Source organism: Homo sapiens, chromosome 11 (assembly GCF_000001405.40).
Source record: "Homo sapiens chromosome 11, GRCh38.p14 Primary Assembly".
Classification (NCBI taxonomy): Eukaryota; Metazoa; Chordata; class Mammalia; order Primates; family Hominidae; genus Homo; species Homo sapiens.
The window spans coordinates 12,816,732-12,836,593 of NC_000011.10; the positions used below are offsets into that span (position 1 = coordinate 12,816,732).

The window sequence follows — 19,862 nt, forward strand, 5'->3', positions numbered from 1 at the left end:
TGTGTGACTCTCCAGTGCTAGGGACAGGGATCTCAAGATGAGTAAGACCTGGTTCCTGCTCTTAAGATGCTCATGGTTTAGTGGAGGGGACAAAGTGGGACACAGGTGATGATGGCATTACAATGAGAATGTAGAGAACCTACAACTGCTGCACCCCTCCCTGTTCTTCAAGATGCCTTCTCTGGCCATCAGGGCAGCATGTGCAGAGGCCCGCTGGTTTGGAATAGTGTTTCTTTCCATGTGTGATGCAGCGTTCCCTCAAAGCCGAGGCGAGGTTTATGCACACTGCCCAATTGAAATGTGTCTCATGTTCACTCGCTGCTGGATCAGCAGAACCTCGCGCAGGGCACTCCTTGGGCTCACGCTAGCTACTTTGCCTTTGTTTCTTCAGGCCTTGCGCTGCTTGGATTGAATTGGATTCTGCCACGCTGATATTATTATCTCACGCCTTTAAAGCCAGAATTTGTAATAAACTACTAATGTTCTTGGAATAAAGGCACTTCAGAGCATGCGTAGCTTGAAATAATTCTTCTAACACCTAGAAATTAGCCAATTTTACTTTTGAAGGAGATGAGAATAAACATTTAGTGGTCAGCCAGACGGAGAATAAATGGCCAGCATTTGAGATTTTCCTGCTCCTGTTTATGGAGAGAGACTGGCATGTACCTAATTCCCAACTTGTTGATCTGTTGTACCCTATTTTAATTATTTTGCCAGATGTAAACATTTTCCCTTTTTTGTGAACGGAGTGTTTACACCATCTATCACATTTAATGTATTCGGTGCCTGTGAGTGCCGACCTCTTCAAAATTTGTCGACTTCATCATCCGTGTGCTGTCCAGAAATGAGATCTTGATGCCCCCCAAATGAATTATGAAAAGCTTTTCATAGTAATATAATTGATCCACTGTTGGCCACACTTATAAAAAAATCAATGTTAACGTGTTAATATTTCATGAGTACCCACGTTGCCAGCTCCTTGCAATGGGACCAAACTATAAAGAATGAGAATTGTTTCACAGTAGCCCAGCACATGGACAGAGTGCCAAGAAAGGGAGTTCAGGGTTGACTTGAAAGTTTGAAGCGCAACAGGGCCATTGAAACACAGTCCTCTGACTCATGTCAGATTGTTATAATTATTTAATGCCCACAATGCAGCTTTGTCCCCACGGATTTATACTGGAGAGGTTTCTTACCCACACATTGTGGTTATTAGCTGCAAAGAAAGCGGCGTTTGTTTATAATGACATGGGGTATATCTGGATGGCAAAGAAAACACTGCAGATTCTGTCTTCTTAGGAAGGAGGCAGGAATTTGGCAGATAACCTATAGGAAATTGGGAGACATGCTGTCATTACTTTTCATATATGTGGGTGGTTGCAGCCAATAACCATTAGACACCTTTTAGTTTTCACCTTTGTCCCAAACTCTTGAGAGAATGGAATTGCATGCTTACTTTTCATCTATATGACGTTATACAGCTGGTATGCCCAGAGTGTATCTCAACTTAATCTTTTTAAATGTGTCTCCCAAAATCCCTTTCTCAAGGTTCTACATCCTGCCTCCATGAAATTTGGTGTCACCAACATTGTCTTACAGAACCACTGTTACTATTTTTATAAAGAGTTTATAAATATGTTTTGAAAAGTTCTCATGTGGCTAGATCTCATCAAGGGATTTTTTTTCAGACTTGAAAAATAAAGTTAAAGAAGTAAGGCTTTGGGGCCTCCCTGGGGACATGTCTGGTTTGGAGATCAGTGGTGGTGCTAATGGCCCTGAGTCCGGCATCCGGCTCCTTGGGAGAAGAAAGGTCATTAAGTCAGAGAGGACCAGTCAAGTCCAGCTCCTCCAAACTGCTTTTCTGTGTGTCTTCCTTGGATGTCCTCCCTTCTTCCCCTACATGGAACTCTCAGTTGCCTTTGCTGTCAGAGGAGGTTCAATATCAATGGGTTTCTCAAGCTTAGAGGGCAACAGGGAGACATTGAACCACAGTAGTGTGAAATTGTCCGCAGGTACTTACAAGCTGGGGTGTGCAGATGCAATTTATAATTGCACCGGAAATACTTGTAACCTTTATCATGCTTAGTGGTGGAAATAAGAAAATCTATGTGAGTCAGCTTAGTACTAACTTGGGACCAATATGAAGCAACTGAATCCTCTTAGGTTTTGCAAGAGAGCTACAAATAGAAAGCAGACACAAAACATAGGCTAGAGTAACAGTAAATGTATCTGGAGCCTCAAATCAGGACTCATATATTCAATTCCTTATTTTTTGTTTTCTGGTTCAACAGGAAGTCTGGGAGATCTATAGGAATTTGAATTACCTTTAATGGTTTATGGGGACCAGAGAACCTAAACTTTAGAATTGGGATTGTCCTGGAAAATCTGGAACACATATTGACCCAGATCCAGACAGTGGGTTATGGAATATGATGCAGATGATGAGCCAATTAAGAGAAAGGTTTGCATTTAAGCATCTTCCTCTTGTACTGGTGACTGAGTGACTCCAAGGTGGCACCATTATCACCGGTGCTTGTGCAGAGGTGATTTTTTTTTTTTTTTTTACACTTTGCTGTCTGAAATGCTTTAAATGATTCTTTTAATTAAAAAAATTAGTTACCTATATAAATATTCACTTGGTAACCCCTTCATTTAAACAGTCCATTTATGCCTTATGCACTTGTATGTGTGTGTGTGTTGTGTTTCACGGTAACAAAGTTTTTTGTTTTTTGTTTTGAGATGGAGTCTCGCTCTGTCACCCAGGCTGGAGTGTAGTGGCGCGATCTCGGCTCACTGCAAGCTCCGTCTCCAGGTTCACGCCATTCTCCTGCCTCAGCCTCCCAAGTAGCTGGGACTACAGGCGCCCGCCACCAAGCCCGGCTAATTTTTTTTTGTATTTTTAGTAGAGACGGGGTTTCACCATGTTAGCCAGGATGGTCTTGATCTCCTGACCTTTTGATCCGCCCGCCTCGGTCTCCCAAAGTGCTGGGATTACAGGCGTGAACCACCAAGCCCGGCCGGTAACAAAGTCTTAAAAGCGGTCTTATTCTGTAATACGTTGGCCAGTTTTAAACCATTTGCAGTAATGCATTTAAAAGATGTTATTTCATAGATAACAAAATAGCTTCTTGATTTTCATGATAAACATAGACTTGGAGCCTTTTTCTTTTTCCCCGATTGTGAGTCAGCTCTTGGAGGGCATGGACAGTTTCTCACACCTCCTGGGATTAGAGGTGGAGAAACAGAATGGGCTGGGTGGGCAGAGACTGGGTGGTTGGAGCTCAGGGCCTGGGGCAGGGAGTTGTGGGGAGGGAGGGTGGGAAGGTGAAGGGGAGGTGGTGGCAGGTCATGGGGGTCCACTGTGTGCCATACTGTGGAATATAAACCTCTCCATCAGTGCAGAGCCACACAGCAAAGGTTTTAAGTGGATAAGTATGTATGGGGAGTGGGACGTGATCTGGTTTGAATAATGTATACTCAGGACTCTTGCCATACAGTAATTTTTTTCAACCCGCTAGACACTGTTGCTGTGGGGAAGTGGAGAGTGGTTTCATCCATATGGCAGCATCATGGCTGTGTAGCCCTAAAGCCATAGGCACCTCCCACCCCACCCACCCACAGTGGCATCCACAGTTTTAGTCTCTAATAGCACTTTGTCTCCTGAGAAGAAAAGCAAAGTTGTTTTTCCTTTCTTCTTCTCTCATCCCCAAAGCGTTCTCCTTCTCACCCAAACCATGATCTCAGATCTTAGGAGTTACAGGTCAGACATGTCACGGAGCCTGTTTGAGATCAGTTGTCTACGTTGGTGATGAAATTATAACACCCTAAAAGAAGACTTTGGAGTAGGAACTTGCCAGGGTCATCAGACATGGTTGGGTTGAGAGAGGAAATGCGATTATACAAAAAACGTAGAATACAAAGTAGTGCTTATTCTGTGATCATGGCTACTGTTTCAGGGGACAGGACTAGAAGGGAACCCGGACAAAGAAAAACCCTTGGCCTGTGCAGGCTGTGGGGTTGTGAGTGCTGTTTCCCCAAATTAAAATATCTTTATTATTGTCATGATTTTGTTGTGCCATTGAGGTACATTAACTTAAATAAATCAAAGCGAACAATTTTAAGATGACGAGTAAGTCTGGAGAAAAACCTAGGACCCCAGAAAGAAGGCATATTGTACATCCCAGTCTGCTGTAACTTCCGGAGCTGCTGCTGATGACAAAGGGCTTTAAGGCAAGGGAAGTGTTTGCAGCACTTTGGGGGCTCTATGCCTGTCTGCATGCTTGTTTAGTTTTTGCCATGGCCTGTTCACCAGCCTGTCTGCCCTGAAACTGGGAAAGGTGGATCCAGCTGCTGTCCAGGCCTTCAAGAAGCAGAGCCCCATTCAATTGTCCACTTCTCTGTTGCTGCCCAGAGCCAGATCCTGTGTGGGATACTTGGCTTTTCAAGGGCCTGTGTATGGTGTGTTGTTGAGTAGAAATGTCTGAGATGCTCCTTTAGTAGCACCTGATTCTTTTGGATCAGTGATTTGCCATTTCTTATATGAAAACGAGAAGTTCAGAGTTTTGAATTCTGGCCCCAGTTCCATCACTTTCTTGCCCTGTGACCCTGTTCTCCTCCCAAAACCTTTCTGAGTCTTCATCATTAATAATGTTTAATTGGATCACATGAAATGATACAGGTGAAAGCATTTAGAAATGGAAAGCACTGTGGGGGAATATTTTTGTTCATAATTGTATCATAATGTGGACATGGAGAGTTAACCTTTGTCAGCGCTTAGTTTCTCAGCCTTTTTATCTATTAAATGGGAGTACAAATGATACCTTCATTGGGGGTTCCCTGAGCATGCAGTCGGAAACTATGACCTCTTCTGGAGGACCATGACTTTTATTTTTTGACTCTATAGTGTAGGAACATCTTAATTAAAGATTATGGAAAAAAATGAAAAATGGGTTTATAAAAAAATGCCCAGATCCAATTTCATGTATTTGTAAACTATTGATCAACAACCTGTGTGGAACCTATGGCCGGATATGAATTATCCAGTATTAGCATTGATATGAATGCTTTTATCAATAGAGCATTGATAAGGCATTTCATGGAACACACATGTCAGCTCGTTCTCTCACTTTACCTACCTCCTCCGCTGTCTGCCTCCCCTCTGCCTTAGATCTTCTCCCTCCCCTTTTCTCTTTCCTCTTTTCCTATACTCTCTCTCCTTTTTCTCTTTTCCTTTTTTTTTTTTTTTTTTTTGAGACAGAGTCTCTCTCTGTCACCCAGGCTGGAGTGCAGTGGCGCGATCTCCGCTCACTGCAAGCTCCGCCTCCCAGGTTCACACCATTCTCCTGCCTCAGCCTCCTGAGTAGCTGGGACTACAGGCACCCACCACCATGCCCGGCTAATTTTTTGTATTTTTAGTAGAGACAGGGTTTCACCATGTTGGCCAGGATGGTCTCGATCTCCTGACCCATTATCCGCCCGCCTCGGCCTCCCGAAGTGTTGGGATTACAGGCGTGAGCCACCGGCAGTTGTGCTGCAACTGTAGAGAAACTAGAGGTCTAATTTCTCAAATACTGGTCCTCTGTGAATTGAAATATAGATCCTCCCTCACAGATATAGATTCGGTGACTGAAATAATTATTTTGAAGGAACCATTGCATACGTGACATACTTACTGTCAGATAAAGTCTTTGGAGGGAGATGGGATAGTGTGTGGTGTCCACCCTGTCACTTCTGCCAGGGCGAGGGCTCACATAATTTATTCTAAGCTTCCCATCCTCAGCTTCTGCGCAGGAGTACAATGGAAGATGGGGGGTGGAGGCCTTGCCTGTGGAGCCTTGACTGGGAGAAGGACAAAGAAGGCATGTAGCTGGAGAGGTCCAGTGCTTTTTCCAGGGCTGGAGGCTGGGAGGTGTCCTCATGCACTCCTATAAGCTAAGCAGAAGCCAGAGAGCTTTCCCTAGTCATGCAGCTCACAGGATAGTGTGCAGTAGAGCTCTGCTAAAGGACCTTCAGTTTTAAGAGCGCCTTCACTCCGTAGTATCACAGATAAAATTAGCATCCATATTAGTAAGCCCAACCCAGAGAACCATGCAATTATCTCATGATTTTATTTAATGACTGTGCTCTTTTCACAGCTTATCAGGGTAATCTTTGGAGCATGTCCTGATTACATGTTGTACAGACCATAAAATAAGTGAACTTAAAAAGCAATTCAAAGCTAGCTCTAATTTAATTTATAATTTTTACATCTCAAGACAACATTTTTAGTAGATAATTGTCCAGTATTTGGTTTTGTTTTTTTGTTTTTTACATATGTCAATTTTTACTTGTCTTGCAGTTTCCATTCCCCCAGCACATCTCATCTTTGCTCATAGCAGCGAAGAAGAGAGAGCATCTGTCCTGGTTCTCCTTCACCTTGCTAATCAGGCTATCCCCCTCAGCTCTTCAGGGAATGTATAATGACAAATTAGACCTTGTAGGACTTGTGCATGGAGCTTCAGGGTCTTTTCTAAATGGCAAACCAAAGTGGCCAACACTTGCTAGCTGTGTGATCTTGAGTAAGTTACTTGACTTCTGAGCTCTGATTTCTTGCCTTTAAAATGTTCCCACTTCATAGGTAGTGGTTGATTCACAAGGTTGCCATGAATCAACAACGTACCTCAGTGAGGTACCTACCTGTGAGAAGTGCCTAGTCCCTGAAGGCGTTTGGAAGTCATTTCCCAGGGCAGGTCAGATACTGAGGCTTCCCAGGCTGCTGTACAGGTGGGCATGCTGGGGACCTTCTCAGACACCCTGGCCTCTTTTTCTTTCCATCTGGCACAAGAGATGCTTTTTCTAGTTGGGACATGCAGGAGGAAAGAGAGAGCAGGTGCTTCCTTGATGTGAATAATTTATTTTTCCTTCAGATCATTCTGATAATGCACCAACCTTTGGATGGGAAAAGGTGCAAAGCTGGGATATGCACTAGTGTTACATCACTGGAGTTATGTTGGGGATATGTCCAGTGTCAGATTTTTTTGTCCAAAATCCCATTAGCAGAGGAAAGGAAGAAGATACATTTCCTTGGCAACTATTATGTCCCAGGCACAGAGATTACAGAGGCAGGAGTGACAGTTGTTGAGGGATACAGTGGGTATGAGAGGGAGGGATGTAAACTGAAGAGTTCCCATCATAAAATGTGGTAGAATGTTCACAAAGGCTCACCTACCCTACCCCAGGGAGACATTTATTCTAATTTTGGGGGAGACTAAGTGATTGGGGCTATTCACTTCTCCGAGACACCAGAAAATGAGAACGTCTGTAAAATTAAGAATATGAACTCTAGTTCTGTCTGCATTTCCAACTTCTTCATTGTTTCCTTTCTCACAAGATTTTAAATCCCTTGAGGAAGTCATTTTTCAAACAGTATTTTCTGTGAAATCCCCAATTGTAATGTCTACTTTATTTACTCCTCCACTCATCCTTCCTTATCAGGTTTATTGCATAGTATAATGGAATATATGAAATTAAAAATAACTACACTGGACACTGGGCTCTGCATACAGTAAATATTCAGCCGTTGTCTGCAGACTTGCCTAAGTGTGTACGCAGTAGTTATTCTAGGCAGGTGCTGTGCTCCAGGCTGGAAGTTGTGTATAGGATAGAGAGAGAGGGTGCCTCAGAGCTGGCAGTTTCCTCCAGCAGTCAAATTCTGAACACCCAGCTATGCCTCTTGCTGGGGAATCTAAACTTTCACCTTTCAGAGAAAACAAGGTCTTTGGAACCAGTGTGTTCTTTCAAACAATGTTGGATACTGCCCGATTGTTTCCATCCGGGAACCAAGTTTTCAAAAAGAAGTCCGGCTGCTTTGTTAAGATAAGAGACTGTTGTGTGAAAATTGCTGAGTGAGAGCTCCCACTGGAGGCTCCTTGTCTTCCAGGCCATTACCAGTTTACTCCTAGCTGGGTGATGGGGGTGAGGGTTGGGGCCAGATTGCTAGAGCCCCATTCCTGCCAGTTCCTCCCAGTCCTGAACTCTGGGGTGAGTAGAAGGTAGAGAGGGTTGATGGGGCCGGGCTCCTGGCCTGGCAGAACCGTGCTGACCTGGAGCCTGTTCGGAAGCTGGCAGTGATTGCAGTCTCTCCCGGACTGTTGCTGCCCTTGTTTGCCCTCCCTTCTGTTTCCTTCTCTCTACTTCGAGCATTCATTACATGAGATGGTGCTGTTTTTTCATATATTTGTTATGAGTAATTTTATCTTTCATCTATTAGATGACATTTTTGATTCTGTTCTTAATTTAAAACACACACTCATTTTTTAAAGTTTCTAAGTACGTTTTTTATTTGTATGTGATCATGGTTCATCAGTATAAGAAAATATTTAGCCAGTTCTGTTTCGTAAAGTCTTCAAGAAAGATAATAGCTTGGGTGGACTGCTTCTTCATGCACTTTATTAATGTGGCTTCCTGTTAAGATCTGAAGCCAGGCAGAGATGTCCACTTTTGCTACTTATATTTAAAATTGTACTGCAGGTTCAGAAATCAAAGGCATCCGGATTGGGAAGAAAGAAAGAAAACTCTCTTTATTTTCAGATGAATTGAGCCTGTACTAGAAAACCTAAAGGAACACATGCCCAATCCCGATTCCCCCAAAGTACGAACCGACTAATGAGTTCAGCAACCTTACAGGATAAAAGATTAGTATACAAAAATCAATTGTATTTTTACATACTAGCACCAAGCAATCTGAAACCCACATTATGAACACAATTCTGAGGAATAAATTTAATAAAATCAGTGCAAGACTAGTTTATTGCTAAATGAGAGTTATCCCATGTTCATGGATTGGAAGACTCAATATTGTTAAATCTTCCTAAAATGATTTGTAGATTCAGTGCAATCCTTATACAATTTTAGTATGCATCTTTTTAAAAAAAATTGTCAAGCTGTTTCTAACAGTATAGAAATGTAGATGACCTAGAATAAACAAAACAATTCGGAAAGGGAAGAAAAAAAGATTAGGGGTCTTATATTTCTTAGTTTCAAAACTTACTACAAAGCTATACTATTCAAATCAGTGTGTTACTGGTGTAAGGATAGACAGTGGTGTAAGCATAGATAATGGTACAGAATTGAGAGTCTAGAAATAAACCATTACATTATTGTCAATTGATTTCTCTACAGAGGTACCAAAGCAATTCAAAAGCAATTCAATTCAATAGTCTTTTCAATGAATAGTGCTAGGACAATTGGATATCCACATGCAAAAAAGGTAAATTTAAATTCTTACCGCACACGGTACATAGAATTTAACTCAAAATGGATCCTAGGCTAAAGTGTAGAAGGTTAAGCTAAATCTTTTAGCACAACATAATAAAAAGTCTTCATGACCTTGAGTTAGGCAAAGAGTTCTTAGATATTAAACTGGAAGCACAGCATGTCAAATTACTTTTCGAGAAGGTTTGCTAGCTCATTCAGTGGGTGAAAATGGGTGAAAAGTGAGCACATTATTTAACTATATTCTCTTGTTCCTAGTTAGGTTGAACATATTTTTACTTACCACTCAAAAATATTACCACTTTCTGGGCTCTTGTAGGTCTCTGTCACATCTTCGAACTCACCAAACCTTTCAGGAGAAAATAGTTCCTTGGAGAAGTACATAAAGTTGTGGGACTTTGTACCTTGGATTACACTTTCCCTGTCAACTCTGGGTCCTCCATAGTGGGGAATCCATAGTGGTTTTTGTCCTGCAAATAAAACAGTGTGACTAAGTAATTTTCCAGAAATGAACAGCAGAGTGGGAAATAGACATAAGTGAGAGTAATATAACAATCACGGTGTGATAAATTAGCATGGGATTTGAAATCAACCTGTTTGGGTTCAAATCATGGTTCACCTCTTACCGGTTTTGCAAACCTTGGGTCAGTTACTTAACTCCATCAAATCCTTCACTTCATCTGCAAAATAGAGATAAGAAAATTCCTTTTCTCTTAGTGTTGCTTTGAGCATCAAATGAAAAAATGTGTGTAAATGTTTAGTGCTTTGTACCTAGCATATAGGAACCCATTATTAAGTAATATTACAGTTTGGATTTCAGACCTGTGAGCTTAGGGCTCAGACTCTAGAGGTTCCTGAACTAGGTTTTCCTAGGCATTGCATGTAGAGTCTTATCTTAAAAAAGTTTTAATTGAAAGATTGGCAGCAAATTCTTCTTGTCACTTCAGACATGATTTCCTTTGGGGCTCTTGTACTCCCATGGTTTGAATTCATAGAGTAACTCAAGGGCAATAGGGAATTCCTCTCAACTCTCTGTCTCCAAGAATACCTCTGGGTGCTGGAGAGATGCCACTTATCAATTCTGTTGTTATTGTTTTTAGGGCTGTAAGCCTTCTGGATAGAACTCAGTGGATTTTCCTGAGTAGTGAAGAATTAAGTGAGATGAGGGAAAAGCATTGAGAGTAATTATCAGCAGTGGACTATGCCTGAGTTTTTGTTAGCCCTGAACTTACATATCCTGACTTTACTAGTCCATGAGTTCTTCATAGTCAGGAACTGTACCTTTTAATTCTCTGCATCTCCTAGGGGCTTTCTCAGTGCTAAGCAAATAGTAAATATTCATGAGATACTGGGATTGTGCCCAGCATTTTCTGAGTTTTCAAATAGATGAAGTTATAGAATCATATTCATATCAAAGGAAGTTCCTGTGTATAATCTCATTTCATTCTGTCAACAACCCTAGGCTTGGGGTGGGTGTGTTGGTGTGGATGAGAACACTTAGTATCCCTATTTTACAAGTAGGAAAAGTAAGACCCAGATAAGTTAATGACTTGCTAAAAATGATACAGCTCTTGAGAGACAGCAGACATTTGAATCCCATCTACTGATTCTAGGTCCTATGGTCATTCCTTTGCTTTATGTTGCCTGTTTTGCAGACTGTCAAACGCATCAGACACTTCCAGTGGTTTTTCAGTGGGTTTTTGTCCTAGTGACAGTCCACACATCCTGCTCTCCTATTATCACATTTGCAGGAGGAAGTGAGACATCTTTTGACACTGGTGATATGGGAGAAGGAGAAAAATCCTAGAATCAAAGATACTTACTCCTTGCTTCCCTCTACTCATACTCTCTGGAAAGAAACGTTTAGGGACTTCTTGTGTTGTGCCTGTTGTGCCAGGACAGCTCAAATGGATGCTTTTGTCACAGCCCCTCCACCTTTAGCAGAAGTTGTTGTATTCCTAGCCAATGCAAAAATAAACAAGTGAGGGAAAATGACATTTCCTGGTAATGGAAAGTAGCAGTTGGTGAGACTTTAGACAAGAAGCGGGTGTTCCAGCCAATGAGCAGTGACCACAGTGGAGCTAGTTGTCGGTTTACTTGGCTGAAGAATATGTTTGCCTGCATCCTGATTGTCAATAAAGACGTTTAAAAACCCCAGCTTGACTCTGGCGGGCTGAGGGTGCTGCCGTGCCACTGCTGCAGGATGGAGCTCTCTTCCTGGTGGAGACTTGATTCACAAGGACGCTAATTATTCATTCTTCCTCCGTGCAGCCCGCTGAAACAATTGCTGTGCTTGTTCGGTGCACAGTGTGGCGTCGGACAGTCAGGCCTTTTTATGTAACTGATGGCGCTGTATGTTCATATTGTTCTTTATGTACTTATTTTATAGCTTATGCAGCAGACATTCGAGTCAATTAGCTTCTTGTCTTGCAAACTGGGCACTGCTGTTCTAGAACCAAGTTAGAAGGGTGTGTTGAGGGCGACCCGGGCAGACCTCTCTCCTTTCTTTTTGTGCTGTGTGGGTTGGTTTCAAGTTACAGCATTTTTATTGGCTCTTGTTTGCTGAACCTTGGTTTCAAAAGCTGATGTTTGAGTTGAATTTCTTAAAGATACAGCTTTTGTTTTCACAAAACTGAAGTCAGGCAATATGCATAGCCCTTGGGAGTGTGGGTTTTTTTTTTTTTTAACTGAGTGATTTTTTTTTTTTTTAAATGGTACCTATTAACCAAAAAATCTAAGCGAATGGTTTCCTAACTCACTTTTCCTTAACTGGCGTCAGCATGGAGTCCTTGTTTCTTATTGATTTGCATTTTTTTTTTTTTCTGTATAGCCTTACTCCTGACTCTTTTGTCCTGAATTTTTTTTTTTTTTACCCCGTATTTCTTGAAACCTGCCTGTTTTGGGGACAAGTTGGAGTTTAAATAAATTAGTTAAATTCTGTTGTGTATATTTCTGCAGATGATAATGTTTATGAAGCATAGATTCACTGTTTTGTGAGGATTTTTAAATATCGGAAAGAAAATTTCCTGCTTCCTCTTTCCATCTCCTTTTCTGTGGTTTTAGCCCCCTCGCCCTTAAGAGCCATCGGTTTGTTATTGCTGATTGAGGTAGTGGTGGTGGAAGCAGAGGCTCTGATCCAGAGAAACTCCCCAAGACGGAAGTGCAGCAGGCAGGATTTTTATCCAGCGGATTTTGACCCAGTAGACCCTAAAGAAGGTGCATGACAGAGACTCATATTTACCATACCATTGAATTCTCAGAGCTTTCCGTGGTGGCTGGCCCAAGGCAATTGTTCAAAACATACGTGAGAGAATGAATGAACAAATGACCTTGCCTACCAAACGTCTCCCTCCCTCTGTGTAAGCATCCCTTAAACTCTCCCAACCCAGGTGGCCTTGACATATCCCATGCTCACCCAGGACCCTGAAGTATGCCTCGGAGCAACTGGTTTCTCCTGACCAGTTAGTGTCAACTGAGACTAATGCAGAAAACATTGCTTACCCTAATGTTTGCCTTTAGAAGTAAAATCCAAACTGAAGGAAAGGACCTTGAATTTGTTTTTTATTCTTGCTGACTTGGAACATTGATAATGCTCATACTGATCCTCTGGCTAAACATTTTTCTTCCTTTATCCATGTATTTATTGAGCTCTCCACTGTTAGCATGAAAGGTGGAGAAGCAGGAATACATGGTGTGTGCTTCTGCTAGCCTTTTACTGTCCAGTTGTAGAGAGTAGGCCCAGTGAACTCAGTCAGGTGTTTATAAGATTGAGCAATTGAGCAGTTGCTGTATCCTGAAGACTGTATCTGGTGCTTTACTCTTGTATAATTCTTGAGACAGGAATACCTGGGTGTTGGCATCAAGGGGCTGTTGAGGCCATCTTTATTTCTCCATAACACCCAGCACAAGACATTTACATGTATGGGTTGGGTAGGGTAGGAGTTCATAGCTGTCCATAGAGCAGGGCAGGGACATTTCTGAGAAGGTCAGAGAGGTTTGATGAGGTGATTTTCCTGAGCTGGGCCTTGGGAGTGGAGAGATAGAGGGAGAACAGGTGCATGGACACAGAGGCCAGAAGGGCATCAGACAAAGGACCCCTGGGGCTGTGGGAAAGCCCCCGAGCCATTGGGAAATAGAGGAGCTTAGCCTTGCTAAGAGGAGAGAATTCAGAGAGCCATGAGGTGATTGAGGTTTCAAAGACCAAATAAACAAAGGAAGACAGCATCTTGGGGAGTGGGCAAGACCATGCCTCACCTGGCAGGTGAGGTCAGAGGATACCTGACCTACGAAGATCCACAAAGGCTGGCAGTGGGGGGCATCCCAGTGGACAGTGTTGTGATGAGCAAGGGGCCCAGAAGTAGGAAGACTTAAGGAGTCCTAGGCCTTAAGGAAGACTCAACCCAAACCTGGCTACCTCTTTAGGCAGCTTGAGTCTTGGCCTCTCCTACCAGCTCCTGAAGGGTAGCTTCATGTTACATCTGGCTGCAGAGACCCTCCTTTTTAGAAGCAGGCAGGGAGTGGTGCCCAGGCTCTCAGGACCTCCTCTTGTCTGGGAGACTGCAGCCTCCCCACACGACACAGCCCAGCCCCTTTGTTCTTGAGTGCCTGCTGCTCACGTGGTCTTAATAAACAAAATCTAGAACGTGCTCATCCTTTAAAAAAATCTGTTAGCCTGGTTAACGTGTATATAATATGTATAAATATATGTATATACACTAATTATATATAAATTATATTTTGTGTCAGTTATATTTGCAATCACACACACACACATGCACGCACACGCACATGCACATGCACATGCACATTCACATTGTAATTCCTATTTAAAGGGAAAAACGAGCCAGTTTTTTAAAGGGAAAAAACAAGCAAAAGGTGTAGGGAGAGGGAGACACCCATCTCTGCCCCCATCCGCTGATTCTCTTCCCTTTTCTATCCTCCCTCTGGCTGGGTTTACGGACAGGCCCTTCTTCCTCCTGCCCTTCATCTGCCGCAGGACCTCAGTGCTGGTGATGGTGAGCCCATGACCCTCCTTCTCTCTTGTTCTCTGCTCTTGTGGAGGCTAGTTCCAGCCGTTCAGTTCCACTGAAGCAACTGCTTTGGCAGACGAAGCTCTCTCTGCCTGAAATTTCTTACTTTCTTCCTTCTTTGGTTCCCATTTCACCACTCCATGGTTCCTCCTCCAGGAAGCCTTCCTTGTCTGGTTTTCTTCCTTCTAACTCTCCCCAGCCCTGTCTAAATCTTACCCTTCTTCAGAGCCCATCTCAAATTTTGTTTCTTCCATGAATTCTTTCCTATAGAGCTTGTCCTTCTCCTGCCCCCTCTGCCAGCTGAGGGCTTTCTTCTTTCCCTGAATTCCCCCAGTGCCCTGAGCTGATCTTAGATCTGCCTTGTTTGCCATTAATTGAGGAGTACATATTCCCCCCAAACTCCTTGAGGGCAGATGCTCTGCCTTATTGTCTTTGTGTCTTAAAAATCTTGCTCTTGTATAGTCAAGAAATTATTGTTTGAAATGGTTTTTAAAAATAGGGTTCTAGAGGTGTTTTTGTTGTTGTTGTTGTGTTTTTTGTTTGTTTGTTTTACCAAAGGAAAATATTCCACCTGGCTGATATAGTGAGACCTTATCTCTACAAACAATTTTAAAAATTAGCCAAGTGTGGTGACGTGTGCCTGTAGTCCCAGCTACTCAGGAGGCTGAGGTGGGAGGATTACTTGAGCCTGGGTGGCAGAGGTTGCAACAAGCCGAGATCATCATGCTGCTGTACTCTAGCCTGGTGACAGAGTGAGACGCTGTCTCAAAAAAAAAAAAAAAATGTAGAGTCTCAGTTTGCCTATAATATTTATATTGCACAATAATACATTTACTTATTTTTTACTTATTGAAATATGCCACTTGTTTTTAAATAGCATGTAAGATGCAGATATTTGCACTTTTAATTGATATGCCAGGCAGGAGATTTACTGCTCTCAACAGGTATTAAGAGGTAGGAAAGCTGCCCCCCGGCAAGTTTCTTAGCACTGTGGAACTGATCCTAGTGCCATGGTGAGTAAGTGGCAGACCTCAGATTCACACCACGTCTCTGACTCCCAATAAACCACACTGTCCCCCCACCCCCAACCCTCATGGTGATTAAAATGATTACTATGTACACACAAAATATATTAGGTTACAGGTTTTTTGTTTACAATTCTAAGCTTCTAAGCTCTGTTCATTTGTATCTTCATAATTTGGGGGCCTATGAAGGATTGTTTATCCCTAAATTGAAAGCAAGCAAACTAACAAAAAATGAGATCAAACATTGTCAGAGACGGTTGTTCAGTTAATCCAAGCATTCAACAAGGGTTATAAATACGGCATAGAAGACTAGGGGGAAAAATCCAAGTTTTTGATAAATTGTCCTCAAAGCTAAACTGTTTCTTAGCAAAGTGAGAAAAGGCATAATGTTCCCAAGACCAAATTTAATCTATACATTCTTGGTAAGACCTTATTTTTCTCCTCTTTCCATTAAGTTTAAGGTTTCCTTCTGCTTCTTGCACTAATCATTAATAACTATACTGTTGTCACAGCTCAAAACTTTCCTATTGACACTTCAGTCATTTTTAAAGATCTTGAATGTTCAACCTCTATGAAGCTAACCTTTTGCACTCTATTAAAATTTAAGAACCATTTGATTCTCAGTGAATGCCCCAGCTACTGGATCATGAAAGCATTACCTTGTGCCAAGGGCATGATGCAGAACACTCATTCCTTTTTAACAAATAAGAAGAAGTTTGACTTTTCATTTACACATCCTGCCAATTGCTAACAAGTTTCCATCTCGTTCAAACACCAGATTGATCCTAAGAAATTGAAAATATTGATTTAACCCTCTGTCTGATTTGTACTGCAGGCACCTGCTAGTGCAGTCTTAGCACATTACAATTGCTTGGCTGTAATTCCTCAGGGGACCACTAATAACTACCACATCTGTCTTTTCATCTTCCGAAATTATGCTAGCAGTTGTCCAAGTCAATTGTGATTCATTTGATACTGCTCTCCTTCAAGACATATTGCAACCAAATAGACTTGCTCACCAGTAATATATCTGATGACATAGTTAGTTCTTGTTAATTGACAGAATGATTCAGGCTTTTATGGATGGCATTAATTGGTCCCTTGTGTCCATGCAATAATTGACCAGACAGAGAAGGCAGCATTTTCTTTCACCAAGTCAGGAGAGTTTTGAGGTGAGATAAATGTAGTAAGGATGACAAAATGTCTATATTTTTAATCAAGACTTTATCAATGAGTTGAAAAAAGAAGATTTGGGGGGAATTCAGATCATCTTAATTATGAACATTGCATTGCAGCCTGCAGAGATGTGCTGAAATGCAGGTCTGCCTTCTCTTTGGCCTCCTTGTGCTGAATATTTTAATGCAGGGTACAACATGAATCTAATATATGCAAAGCAGAAGAGTGCTGTACCTGAACTAAGATAATGAAAAAGGAGAACTATAAGTAGCTTTGTTTTTCTTTTGACATTCATCATTAGTGACCCAATAGACTGGGCATGTAAAATCTGAAAATGTGGAATTTGCATTACCTCCTGCTTGCTGAGAGAGCCAGAACGTTAGTTACATTTACTCCTGTTGCCATGCTACTAAAAAAAAAAGCGTTGGTTCCTTTTTTCCTACAGGATAAAGTTTTCATATATAACAATTTTCACAAACTGCCTCCACCATTTATTCTTCCTTCCCATTTGGTCACACAGAATTAATATTTCCAAGTTATGGTACCATTTTGTCCCTTTTTTGTACTTAGTATGCTCTTTCTTTAATTAGTCATTTTATAGATTCCCACTCATTCTTCAAGAATCCCATAGGTGCCTCCCGAATTTCTCAAACCAAATTAGCTGCCCCCTCCTTGTGTTTACTCATTTGGTTGCTTATTTCCCCAACTAGACCTTGAGCTTGCCTTGGGCGTGGGCTGTGTCTGTTTGCTTGACACAGGCAGTTATGTAAGGACTTAATAAATGTTTATGGAATTGAGTTGCAATTGTTGCATTTTGAGGAATGAGAATTTAAGATTTGAATCCGAGAGAGATGACTTGGATCAAACTAGATGTCAAGCAACCTGTACTTCCAATGTGAATAAGTGGCTGACGACCAGCCCTGGGGAATAATTATAATTTGGTGTAAAACAAACCATTTGAGGTGTGGAAGATGAATTAGTCAGTTGACGTTTGTAGAGGGGAGGGTGAGATATGAGTTATGTGGAATAGATTTTCTGGTGTTTGATTTACTTAGACTATTCTTTTTAAATCATTTGTCACATAGGATAGACAGTGGCTGTAACAGATATCCATGGAAACTTTGGACTTGTGAACATCTGACATGACCTCCTTTTAAGGGCAGTGCAATCTGACAGACCTGGGCTGAAATCCCAGTGCTACCATTTATTAGATTTGTGTTTTGAGTGAGCTCCTTAATTGGTCTGAGGCTGTTTCCTCATCTGTAAAATGAAAATAATGACAGCCTCTGTTGACTTTTATGATAGTGGAGAGAGATGTATGGGAAGTGTGTTGCACAACGCCTGGTGGTATACAGTAGACACTTGATAAATGGTACCTGTTACCAATTAAAGATATTTTTTGTTTGTTTGTTTGTGTGTTGTTTTCTTGTAGGGATGGGGTCTCACAGTGTTGCCCAGGCTGGTCTTGAACTCCTGGGCTCCAGCGATCATCCTGCCTCAGCCTCCCAAAGTATTGGGATTACAGAGGTTCACACCTCTGTGCCCACTCTTTTTTTTTTTTTTTCTTAATTTTAAGTTTGTTTGTAGAGGTGGGATCTTGCTGTGTTGCCCAGGCTGGTCTCAAATTCTTGGCCTCAAGCTATCCTCCTGCCTTGGCCTCCCAAAGTGCTGAGATTACAGAGCAATTATAGATAAGTTTTGACTCTGTTTCTTCCTGAGAGTTCTGAAAGGCAGAGGGTAAATACAATTGTGTATATAGAGAAAATGCTTTAGAGTTTTGTGATTTTTTTATATTGCCTCTAGTTGCACAAGGCTGACCATGTCTCTGTGACAATATATATCACTTTCATGGGGTTCAGAGCTTCTTGTTATAGCTCAGGAAGTTACAGAGGGAGATTGGGAGCTAATGCACCAAAACCGGCAGTGAGTATGTGTAATGGGGTCAAACCTTGTTGGTTTTTTTTAGCTACAAAGCAGCAGATCGGCCACTGTGATAGAATTTGATTTTTACTGGTTTGGGATAGATTCCTGGTGATGCTGATAGTTTATTACCCAATGTAGGTCTAGAATTTATACTTGCAGAGCATTTTCATATTTGTGGGAGAATAAATTTATTTGGCTCTGAGGTTGGTTGGTTGGTTGGTTTGAGAAGGAGTGTTGCTCCGTCACCCAGGCTGGAGTGCAGTGGCGCAGTCTCGGTCACTGCAGCTTCAGCCTCCCAAGTAGGTGGAATTATAGGCTCGTGCCAGCACACCCGGCTAATTTTTTTTTTTTTTTTGTATTTTTAGTAGAGTAGGGGTTTCGCAATGTTGACCAGGCTGGTCTCAACTCCTGGCCTCATGTGATCCGCCCGCCTTGGCCTCCCAAAGTGTTGGGATTATAGGCGTGAGCCACCGTACCCGGTGGCTCTGAGGTTTTTAAATGGTAACACTTAAGTAAACAAACTCTAGTTTCTTTCTAACATATGGCTGGCCTAGAAGAATGTGTTATTTTTTCATAATCTACAGGTAGAGAAATAGAAGAAGAGAACTTCTATTCAAAGAGGCAAACTCAGGGATTCTGAATGCCTTAATGCTGCTATTTGGAGTTTTATTTGAAAGCATTAATATTTTCTTTTTGGGGGTGGATGGAGAAAGGAGAGGTCTTAGTCAACGGGTACAAAGTTTCAGTTAGGAGGAATAAGTTCTAGTGATCTCTTGCACAGCATAGTGACTATAGTTAATAATAATGTGGCGTATATTTCAAAATTGCCAAAAGACTAGGTTTTAAATGTTCTCGTCACAAAGAAATGATAAGAATATGAGGTGGCAGATGTGTTAATTAGCCTGATTTAATGATTCTGCAATGTATACATATATGATAACATCATATGATATCACAAATTTATCTGTCAGTTAGAAGCAAAATTAAAAAAAGATCTTTTAGGCCGGGTGTGGTGGCTCACGCCTGTAATCCCAGCGCTTCAGGAGGCCGAGGTGGGTGGATCATGAGGTCAGGAGATGAAGACCATCCCGGCTAACACGGTGAAACCCTGTCTCTACTAAAAATACAAAAAATTAGCCGGGCGTGGTGGCGGGCGCCTGTAGTCCCAGCTACTCGGGAGGCTGAGGCAGGAGAATGGCGTGAACCGGGCAGGCGGAGCTTGCAGTGAGTCAAGATTGCACCACTGCCGTCTAGCCTGGGTGACAGAGCGAGACTCCGTCTCAAAAAAAAAAAAAAAAATTGTTGCTTTTCCCGCGATGATGAATAAAGGGGTCACTTAGTGTAGTGTGGATGAGTTCAACTAGACTGCTTCCTCCTAACCCCAAACTGGAATCGTTATGTTGCGAGCATGAGACTTTAGCTTGGAGGAGAGAGCGGGTTTGGTAATTTTGGAACC

At 41.9% G+C, this 19,862-nt stretch overlaps 1 protein-coding gene and 1 long non-coding RNA gene across 2 annotated transcripts in view, besides 1 other annotated feature; one reads left to right on the forward strand and one right to left on the reverse strand.

Moving 5' to 3' along the window:
* The window catches only part of TEAD1 (TEA domain transcription factor 1), a 270,317-nt gene that overhangs the window by 142,311 nt on the left and 108,144 nt on the right, over positions 1-19,862 (forward strand). The window lies entirely within an intron of this gene.
* On the reverse strand, positions 8,533-19,699 carry LOC107984313 (uncharacterized). The gene is made up of 2 exons (XR_001748136.3): positions 11,076-19,699; positions 8,533-9,932 (listed from the first exon to the last, which is right to left on the reverse strand). It is a non-coding gene; the product is annotated as an uncharacterized LOC107984313 (long non-coding RNA).
* Positions 11,590-12,228: an enhancer, noted in NCBI's record as "NANOG-H3K27ac hESC enhancer chr11:12849868-12850506 (GRCh37/hg19 assembly coordinates)". NCBI's record gives its function as "activates a minimal SCP1, AML or CMV promoter by ChIP-STARR-seq in primed H9 embryonic stem cells {active_cell/tissue: H9 hESC(primed)}" and the evidence as "EXISTENCE:reporter gene assay evidence [ECO:0000049][PMID:30033119]".